We start from the raw sequence: 11134 nt of genomic DNA, 5'->3' as shown, positions 1-11134 counted from the left end.
CCATTAATCACTTGGCGGTTTTAGATGTTGCAAATATTTCATTCATAATCTGTCATTTGTCTGTTAACTTTGCCTATATCTTCCTTTATTAAATAGAAATTCTTAATTTTAACATATATAAATTCATCAGTTTTTCCTTTTATCGTTGGCAATTTGGAGCTTTTGTTAAAGAAATCCTTCCCCACTGATAAAGTCACAAAGTTGGGTGTTTAATTCATATATTGTATTGTTTCTTTATCACTACCATAAGTACGTAAGATTACAAATTTAAGATTACAATCCTAAATCTTAAATTTGCAATCCTAGGTTGGTAGTTTTTGAAGCTACTAAGATTCAATAATTACTTTCAAGAATTGAGGTGAAATTTATGTCATAAAATTAAGCATTTTAAAAGGTACATTTCAGTGGCATTTAGTACATTCATAGTATTTTACAACTGCCACCTCTGTTAAGTTCCAAACATTTTTACCACCCCAGAAGAAAACCCTGTGCCCATTTAGTAGTTACATCCCATTTTCCCCTCTACACAAACCATGACTCTCATCCATCTGTCTCTATGGATTTACCTATTCTGTATGTTTCATATAAATGTAATCATACATAGCCTTTTAAGTCTGTCTTCTTTCACTTAGCATGTTTTCATTGTTCATCTATGTTTTAACATACATAAGTACATGCTAAAACATTTAATTTTAATATATAGGTATATACATTCCTTATGGCTGAATGATATTCCATTCTATGTATATATCATATTTTGTTTATTCATTTTTCCATTGATGGATATTTAGGTGGTTTTACCTTTTGGCTGTTGTGAATGGTGCTATTTTGAACAGTTGTGTGCAAGTGTTTGTTTATGTACCTCATTTTAATTCTTTTTGGTATGTACCTAGGAATGGAATTACTGTGCCATTTAGTAACTCAATTTTAACTTTTTAAGGAACCACCAAACTTTTTTCCCTAGTAACCGCAACCCCTTATTGTACATTTCTAGTTTCGTTCCATAGTTATCAAAGAAGATACCTTGTGTGATTTTAGTTTTTTAAGATTTATTGAGACTGTTTTATGGCCTATTATATGGTCTACTCTGGAGAATGGTCCCTGTGCACTTGAAAAAAACGTATATTCTGCTGCTGTTGGGTGGAGTCTACCATTTTTAATTTGCCTTTTTTTTGGCTCAGCATTTGCTTGATTGCTATAAACCTTTAACTCTCTTCGAGAGTTCCCACAATTGATTCTGACAGTTTTGTTCATTTTTTTTCTTTTATTTTTCTGTGGCAGGACAGTCCTTTGGAGCTACCTATCCTGCCATATTTGCTGATATCACTTTTTGTAATTACTTTTTACAACCAATATTTTATATACCCTCTTTAATATTCTGAGATAAAATATATAGGTGATAATACAAAGGGAAGTTTAAAAAATCAGTATAATACTTTAATTGTAATATAAAAGAAAAGTAATTTATAGTAAGGTAGTATCAGTTTGTTACGTAAACGCTAACATGACATTGGAAAGCATAATGAAGTAGTGGTATGTTTTAAATAAGTTGAATTAAAGAAATGTAAGAAAAATCAGAAATCATTCTGTACAAGTGCTGATAAATGAAAATCTAAAATCTAGTCATAGGCCGGGCACGGTGGCTCATGCCTGTAATCTCAGCACTTTGGGAGGCTGAGGCCGGCAGATCACTTGAGGTCAGGAGACCATCCTGGCCAACATGGTGAAACCCCATCTCTACTAAAAATACAAAAATTAGCTGGGCATGTTGGCCAATGCCTGTAATCCCAGCTACTGGCAGGCTGAGGCAGGAGAATCACTTGAACCTGGGAGGTGGAGGTTGCAGTGAGTCAAGATCGCGCCACTGCACTTCAGCCTGGGCGACAGTGTGAGACTCTGTCTCAAAAATAAATAAATAAATCTTATTATTAAGACCAGACTTTTTTTTTATATAAATACAAGAAATGAGAGAAACCATCTGAAGTGAAGTTAAATTAGTACAAATTATAGACTAAAGTGGTGAAGGAAAGGAGAAAGTATGGTAGTCTTATAAATTTGTTGGACCTCATTTCGGAAAGCAATTCTTTAGTAAATAATGAAGAAATATCAGAGAACAGATCTTTTATTTTAAAATCTTAACATATATCAGATCAAGTATTTAGTCTTGAGTACTAAATATCTTTGGAAGCAATACCCTTTCATTGATAATGAGATTTAAAGATGGACTTTTTCATAAAAAAGGCATTCATCGATCTCTGACTAGTATCAAAGTAAGTTTGAAAAAAAAAGGCAGTTATTATAAAAATAAAAGATTCAACTGATAATTTTTACAGTACATTTTTTATTTATCCACAGATACCGATACATGATATGCAGTATTTTTAGAACAACCAATGAAATTAAATAACTTTATTTCCTGTGTTGCCATAATTTAATATTTGGTACTAAGCCTGTTAAAAGAGTCTTACATTCTCCATTACATATTTTAAATTGGCTATATTGCTTTTACAGTGACTACACCTTTACACTAAAACATTTTCAAATAAGTGCACAGTTTAAAATACAAGAAGCTGGGCTCAGGGACTCATGCCTATAAATCCCAGCACTTTGGGAGGCTGAAGTGGGAGGATTTCTTGATCCCAGAAGATCAAGACCAGCCTGGGCAACATAATGAGACCCTGTGTTTAAATCAACAAAAACAAGTGTAACTTTCTTCCCCAGAAAAGGATATGATACTCATAACTTGATTCAGAAGCTTTCTTTATTATACTGTTTGTGTTTAGCCTCCAGGTAGTTTGTTTTAGCTTAACTCTTAACAAATGTTGAATGGCTTGTTTCCTACTCATTTCAGATGGAATAATCACCCTTTCTATATTGTAAGTTCATAAAGGTTTTGTTGCTCAGTGTATCTTTTAAAGATAGAGTCATGCTTTTCCTGCTACCTAGTTATGGTGACAATTAAATGAAATACTGTTTTTGAAAGTTCATAATGTGTTTATAAAAATCTGTGTTAAAAGCATTACTATTAATATTTTAATAATAAATATGACCTCGCATGTTCCAGAGGCTATTCTCTTGAGATAATTAAGTCTCAATCATAAGTCAACCTTTTGAGGTTATGTAATTCTTCACATTAAAAATTAATTCATAATTTCTTGCCTTAGATTGCCTCTTAATCAGAATCACTTTTTAGGGGGAAGTATATTTTGTGACAAAGGTACTTTGGTCCTTTGGTTATTGTATGTTTTGAAAATATGGAACAAACTTCCTTGCCTTTATTAGCACTTTCCAAGCTGGCGTTTTGTCTTAGATGTGTAACTACCTTTATTTTCCTGAGAACAACCTGCCTTCACATAGATTTAATTGCATTGTGATTTTTAGTTGTGACATGTATATGAATGTGAAATGCAAAGCAAAACATTTAATAGTTTTTTGTGGCTTATGTTTTTGATTTGCAGCCTTCAGGCAAACTTAAGGTACCTGAGGAGAATTTCTTCAATGTTCCTGCTTTCTTAACTGTCTCAGGACAACTTCATCTAGAAGTGATGTCAGGGTATGAAATTTTCCTTTCTCTTTTGCTTTGATATATTATGGTTTGGTTGAGAGTGCTTCCCTTCCCATGCTCAAACCTAAAAGTTGAAATTAGTCTTTATCATTAGTTCACTTGAATTTTCCAAAATATTTAAGCTTCTTACTTGTAGTACAGACTTTTGTTTTTAGTGAAAAATGTAACACTGAAAATACAAAGTTGTCATTTTTTTCTTTTTACTAATTTTTCTTGCTTGAATCCCAAACATGTAATCAGAATTTATTTAAATTAATCATATTTATGGAAGTAAAGGCAATTTATAGTTTATACCTGAACCGGGTATTAGTCTATTTCATTTTAAAGAGAGTAGTATTTGAAACAGACGGAATAATTTTTTTTTCAGTAATTGGTTTAAATAAAATTAACTCATACCTACATTTTGAGAGGTGTACAGCAAATTACATCTTTTAAGTCAGATCAAATGAATTTTAGCAACTGTCAGACCTCTGGAAAGTCACTGTATTCCTTGGGGCCTACCTTTTCTTTAAAACGGGATTGAGAAAGAAGACCTTTAAAATCCTGTCTAAATCTTATATTCTGTAATTCTGTGGGTAATTCCCATTTATTTTTATTTTTTTTAGAGGTGGGATCTCGCTTATTGCCCAGGCTGGAGTGTAGTTGCACAGTCATAGCTCACAAACTCCTGGGCTCAAGTGATTCTCCTGCCTCAGCCTTCTGAGTAGCTGGGACTACAGGTATATACCACCAAACCTGGCTAATTGTTTGTAGAGATGGGGTCTTGCTATGTACCAAGGCTGATCTCAAACTCTAGGCTCAAGTGATCTTCCTGCCTTAGGCCTCCCAAGTAACTGGAACTCAAGGCATGTGCCAGCACACTTAGCTAATTTTTAAAATTTTTTGTAGAGGTGGGTTCTCACCATGTGTCCTAGGCTGGTCTCAAACTCTTGACTCAAGTGGTTCTTCCGCCTCAGCCTCCCAAAGCACTGGGATTACAAGCAGGAGCCACTGAGCCTGGCCTCTGGGGGTAATTTGTTAATGCAGACTCATCAAGTACTGAGTTTTCTTTATGTATCTTTTTCTTTAAATATTTTCTCATTATAGAGATTAGGACTTAAAAAAATCTTTTCTGGAAATAGCTCACTTGAAAGGAAGGGAATCTTTTGGTGTTTTCCATTGTTTTAAAAATGCACAGATGAGAAAACTCAAGGAAAATGTAATAGAATAGTTTGCATATTTACTTTTGTACTTTGCTAGAAGAATGGAAAGTCAGTGGTGGAATAAAGATGGTCTTGAAAGTAACATGTTCTTTTCTGATTTATCTTTGAAACAAAAATATGTTATTTGATAGTTCCAATAACCAAATGACTGGCAATATTAGCAGAATACTATGCAGAAAAAGTGTCATAATAACATGGTGAGATTATAGGATTTGCAGATCTGGATGTAGGAAAGGCCGTGTCAAGCCTGTCATGGAATGTTCTTATGCCTACGGAATTATAATTTAAAAAAATTAAAAACATGACTCATTCAAATACAAAATGAATTTGTATCAAAGTTTTCATTCAGTTGATTATATTACAGAGGAAACAAGTAAAATAGAAAACTGTTTCAAAGAGCATCTGAAGACCTCTGTATTTATAGACATTTTAATAGTTGGAATAAGAGTGCTAGGTCAGTTATAAACTGGTTAATGTCCTACAGGACCAACACACCCTAAACTTTGGGATTATCTCTTCTACCTGGTAGAGTTATTTGCAACTCTGCTGGGAAAGATCTGTAAATTAGCGTGTAACTTCACTTAATACGGGTTATTTAATTCAATATTAAATAGACTAATGGAACAAGTACATTTCCCTTTCCCTAAGTAATTAAGTAATCGTCGAATGGGCCTTTGTCCCCTCATTGTGTAATACCTTGAAAGGACATCACCTTTTTAAGGCTACAGCTTTTGGCCTTATATTCAAGGTTTGGATAACCTTTCTTAACAGCCTTTTAGTATTCATTTCTATTATTTATAAAGTTAGAAGCAAGGTGTCTCATCCCTCAGAAGTGTCATATGTGAAATATATAAACTTAGCAAATGTTTGTTTCTCTATTATAATACCACTAGTGTATTAAATATGCCTCTTTCCCAGTAAAGCGCAGTGAACCACAGAACACAGTGTTCTGTGAAACTTGACGGAAGATTAAATTGGTAGAATACTAGGTTTTGTATTTTTTAGTGTGCCATGAAGTATTTGTACTACTGTCATTCAAATGTTCCTAGTTTAATATGCACAGTTCTAGGACTATTAATATGCAGAACATAATGTTTTTGATTAAAGTATGATTTATTCTCCAATAAGAAATTGTTAGTCCTTTTTCCCTCAGCTTTGTTTTTTCTTGAATTCAATTTAACAGACTTTGTAAAAGGCAAAAGATTTATGCAATCTGAAGAGAAACCAGAGTATTAACAGACTTTTAAAATGGAGAAAATGGTAGTTAAATTTAGACAGTTAACATTTTCCAAAAGGATATCTCTGTTGCTTTAGTGGGTTTATGGTTCCATTTTAAAGCTTTTTTTAAAGTAAATATTCTATGTTGGAATAATTTTTAATATATAGAAAGTTGAAAAGATAATGCATAGTTTTGTGTATTCTCTATCCAGTTTCCCCCATTGTAAACATCTTCCATGACCATGATACATTTGTCAAAACCAAGAATTAAATGTTATCACATTACTATTAATGAAGCTCTAGACTTTATTTGGATTTCACCAGCTTTTCCATCAATACCCTTATTCTTTTTCCAGGATCCAATTCAGGGTACCACATAAAACTTAGTTGTCATGTTTCCCCAGTCTCTTCCATTCTATTACAGTTTCTCAATTTTTCTTTTTTACGACCTGTGGAATGTACTCTAATCTGGGTGTGTCTGACATTTTTCTCATGATTAGACTAGGGTTATTTGGGTATTTTGAAAGAATACCACAGAGGCGAAGGCTTGTCCCGTCACATTGTATCAGTGGATACGTGATATCCATATGATGATGTTAACCTTCATTACTTGGATAAGGTAGTGTTTGCCAAGTTTCTTTACTGAAAATACACTATTTTTTCCCTTTTCTTACTCTAATTTTTGGAAGTGAGTCACTAAGTCTAGTCTCCCCTCACTGGGGATGGGGGTTTGGGAAGAGGGAGATGGAGTTAAGAACTACCCGCAGGAGGGAGAATGTTTGGAATTCTATATGAAAATTTGTTGTCTCTTTATCCTTCTTTATTTTTTATTTGTGTAATCATTTATATCTTAATAGACTTGTATATTTCATAGTTTGGGTTATAATTCAGTGCTGTGTTATTTACTTTGATGCTTAAAACTGTTTTAGTTTTTGTTGTTGGGAACTCATTCAGATTGATTCTTACGCCCCTTTGATACGCCCCTGTACTTTGACTAATTCCTTATTCTCTGCTACTGCAAGATGCCTCAGCTTTGTTTGTTGTTTGACATTCATTCACCACCTTTATTTGTTTTTATTTTTTTTATAGTCAGTAAAGTTACACTGACATATTATTATTCCTCCAAAGTCCATAGCTTTTACGAGCATTCACTCCTAGTTGTCTGCATTCTATGCTTTTGGACAGATGACATACGTTCACCATTATAGTAACATACAGAATAGTTTTTGCTGCCCTAGAACTTTTCTATGCTCTGCCTAGCCATTCTTCCTTCCTAACCACTGGTAACCATTGATCGTTTTACCATCTCCATAGTTTTGCCTTTTCCAGAATGTCACGTAGTTGGAATCATACACCATAGAGCCCTTTTAGATTGGCTTCTTTTGCTTAGTAATATGAATTTAAAGTTCCTCCAGGACTTTTCATGGCTGGATAGCTCATTTGTTGTAGTGCTAAATAATATTCTGTTGCCTGGAGGTAACACAATTTATCAGTTCACCTGTTGAAAGACATCTTTTGGTTGTTTCCAAGTTTTGGCAGATTTCCCAGGCTTATTTTTTATTTTCCCTTCCCTAGTCCTAAAAATTAGTTATTTCTCCAAAGAGCCCTAGTTCCTTTTATTAGAAGATGGTATTTAGAAGCCAAAATTGGGTCACTGGATATGTTTGCTGTTACTGAGAGATTATTGCTTTTAAACCTTTCAGTAGACAGAGTTTTTTTTTTTAAACTAGAGAAAGCTAAGTGAGTTTTCATTGCATTTTGCTTATGAATATAATTTATAAGTGGTAAGTTCATTCCAAGAGAGATTTAAATTGTAAAACCTGCAATTAAGAAATGTCACATAATGAAGTATTCCATTTCTCATCAGTTAAAGTCAGAATTGGAGAAAGGCTCAGCCTAAAAAGAAAGAATGTTTATTATTATTAGAGGGATTTGTTTCCTTCTTGGGCATTTTAATGCTTAGCCATGAAGTCAAGCATATTTTAGGTTAAAACTGATGCTTTTCTCTTGACTGTTGTTGTTGGAATAAATTAGTACAGTTTTTCTAGAGGAATACCTTTTTACCCAGAATTTCATTTCTAGAAATTTTTCTTAAGGAAATGATCTGACAACTCTGCAGAGAAGCCTAAACAAAAATGTTGAAAGCAACTTTTATTTATAATAGTGAAAAATTACTAATAATCTAAATGTCCATTCAAGATTTGTTAAACCTAAGTATACCAAGAAAAATAGTCATCATCATTTATCATCTGGGGCTAATGGGCCTTATTTTTAAAAAATATTTTAAAGCCATCTTGTAGTTAATACACAGAAGTATAAATAAAGGGACAGTGAAGATCAACTTTATTAGAAATTTTCAGGAGAATTTAAACATAGCAAGTCAAAAAAATTAAATTGTTATATTGAGAGAGAACGTATATGCCCTAAAATTCACCAATTTGAAGTGTGCAATTCAGTGGGTTTTAGCATATTTTGAAGATATTCAAGTATCACTGACATAATTTTAGAATACTTTCCAATATTTATAATTTTAAGGTTTTATCACTCCCAAAAGACAAATTTTTTCCATTAGCATTCACTCCCTATCCTCTTCTTTGCCCCCACCCCTGGGCAACCACTAATTAAGTTCTCTCTCTATGAGTTTACCTATTCTGGAATATTTATCGTATATAGATAGAATCACACAGTAAATTGTATTTTGTGACTGGTTTATTTCATTTAGCAAATGTTTTCAAAGTTCATCCAACTTGCAGCATGTATCAGTACTTCATTCCTTTTTATTCCCAAATAGCATTCCATTACATGGGCATATAATATTTTGCTTCATTTATCAGATAATGAGCATTTGGGTTGTTTCTACTTTTGGCTCTTGTAAGTAATGTTGCTGTGAACATTTGGGTGGAAGTTTTTGTGTGGACATGTTGTCATTTCTCTTTGGTAGATACCTAGGAGCGAAATTAATGGGTCATGCAGTAACTATGTTTAACTGTGTGAGGAATTGCTAGTCTGTTTTCCACAGAGGCTGGACCATTTTACAGTCCCACCAGCAATAGCAAAAGCATTCCAGTTTCTCCACATCCTTGCAAATGCTTATTATTGTCTTTTTATTGTAGCTGTTCTGACAAATGTAAAGTAGTATCTCATTATGGTTTTGACTTGCATTCCCCTGACTACTAATGATGGGTTTTCATCATTAAAGTCAATGAGCACATGAAAAGGTGTGGAGCGTCTTTCCATGTGCCTGTTGGCCATTTGTATGTATTTTATTTGGAGAAATGTCTATGTAAGTCCTTGAGTTATTTTTAAAATTGGATTGTCTTTTTATTGAGTTTTGAGAGTTCTTTATATATTCTGCATACAAGTCCTTTATTAAATATATGATTTGCAAATATTTTTTCCCTGTTTGGTGGATTTTCTTTTCACATCCTTGATGTTGGCAAACTCAGATTTTCATTTTCACTTTTCTGGGTTTTGAAAGTACTCCAGATGGGCATAGCCTATTGAATTCAGCAAACTGCTGAATACTGCCATGCATGAACCTGGAACATATGCTGTCCTTTGAATACTGATTCCAGATTTTTAATACATCTTTAATAGGCTCTAACTTATTATTACTTCTGAAACTTATACTTACATTATAAAAAAAATGCTTTTGAGTATTTTGTCCCCTTATAATTTTGTTGAAGGAAGAGTGGCCATCTTTTTTGCCCCATAATTGCAAAACATTTTTATTTTTAGATTGTACACCAATTAGAATGATCAAATTAATGAATTCTTCTGTTTCTACATCATCTTTTTTTTTCCTAAACACCTTTATAAAATACTTGCTTCAGCATTTGTTCACTTATTAACCTTAGTAAGTAAATTTTGGTGTACAAATATCATAAATGATGAAGGAATATTGCCACATATCCTTTTAGAAAATGGGATGGTCCAAATTCTTATAAATTATTACATAATGAAATCCTTCTTGTGGAATGACTCATTGGATGGAAGTACTGAATTTGTTTTTTGACTTGAAATGTATTTTTCACTTAACAGTTCTTATGTTTGAGAAAATTCACTTAGATAGGTATCATTATCTGAAAGCTCTTTGTCTGAGATTTCACTTACACAACCAATTTTACCATCATCATTAGAGAGTAGATTGTCAACCAGGCACAGTGGCTCATGCCTATAATCCCAGTGCTTTGGGAGGCTGAGGTGGAAGGATCACTTGAGACCAGAAGTTTGAGACCAGCTTGGGCAACACACGAAACCTTATCTCTACCAAAAAAAAAAAAAAAAAAATTAGCTGGATGTAGTGGCACATACCAGTATTCCAAACTACTTGCGATGCTAAGGCAGGAGGGCGCTTAAGCCCAGGAGATTGAGGCTGCAGTAAGCTATGATTATGCCACTGCACTCCAGCATGGGCAACAAAAAGGGGAGGAGATTGTTGCTGCCTCTTTGCATTCATGTTCTGATTTGTCTAATAACTATGAAATACCTTTATCATTTTAATTCTCTTTGTTAGTGTGAGTGAAAAATAAAGATCTGAATTCTGAACTGTGATCTGCAAAAACTACAAAAAGGCTACAACCATGTATCCGGGCTTTTCTTTTTTTTTTTTTTTTTTTTGAGACGGAGTCTCGCTCTGTCGCCCAGGCTGGAGTGCAGTGGCGGGATCTCGGCTCACTGCAAGCTCCGCCTCCCGGGTTCACGCCATTCTCCTGCCTCAGCCTCCCAAGTAGCTGGGACTACAGGCACCCGCCACTACGCCCGGCTAATTTTTTGTATGTTTAGTAGAGGCGAGGTTTCACCATTTTAGCCGGGATGGTCTCGATCTCCTGACCTCGTGATCCGCTCGCCTCGGCCTCCCAAAGTGCTGGGATTACAGGCGTGAGCCACCGCGCCCGGCCCCGGGCTTTTCTTATACCTTCTTTAAAGATGACACAGGCCTGGCGCAGTGGCTTAAGCCTGCAATCTCAACACTTTGAGAGGCTGAGGCAGGAGGATCACTTGAAGCCACTAGTTCAAGACCATCCTAGGCAACATAGTGGGACCTAGTCTCTACAAACAAACAAACAAAAAAACCAAAAACCAAGCATGGTGGCATGTGCCTGTAGTCCTAGCTACTTGGGAGAGTAAGGCAAGAAGATTGCTGGAG

General features: G+C 34.4%; 1 protein-coding gene across 26 annotated transcripts in view; it reads left to right on the top strand.

The window, feature by feature from the left end:
* NARS2 (asparaginyl-tRNA synthetase 2, mitochondrial) overlaps nucleotides 1–11134 on the top strand; it is a 138897-nt gene that overhangs the window by 42470 nt on the left and 85293 nt on the right. For 24 of the 26 annotated variants that reach the window (NR_189155.1, NR_189156.1, NR_189154.1 and 21 more), the window contains one exon: nucleotides 3459–3553. The exons of the other annotated variants lie outside the window; for them this stretch is intronic. Coding sequence is in view for 20 of the 24 variants with exons in the window: in NM_001425308.1 (NP_001412237.1) it covers nucleotides 3459–3553 (95 nt within the window). In the remaining 4 variants the exon portion in view is untranslated. The remainder of the gene's footprint in view (nucleotides 1–3458; nucleotides 3554–11134) is intronic. 26 annotated transcript variants of the gene reach the window in all.

The sequence above is a fragment of the Homo sapiens genome, chromosome 11 (genome assembly GCF_000001405.40).
Source record: "Homo sapiens chromosome 11, GRCh38.p14 Primary Assembly".
In the NCBI taxonomy this organism is placed as follows: Eukaryota; Metazoa; Chordata; class Mammalia; order Primates; family Hominidae; genus Homo; species Homo sapiens.
Note: the sequence above shows the minus strand (reverse complement) of the source record. Positions and strands in the feature narration are given on the sequence as shown.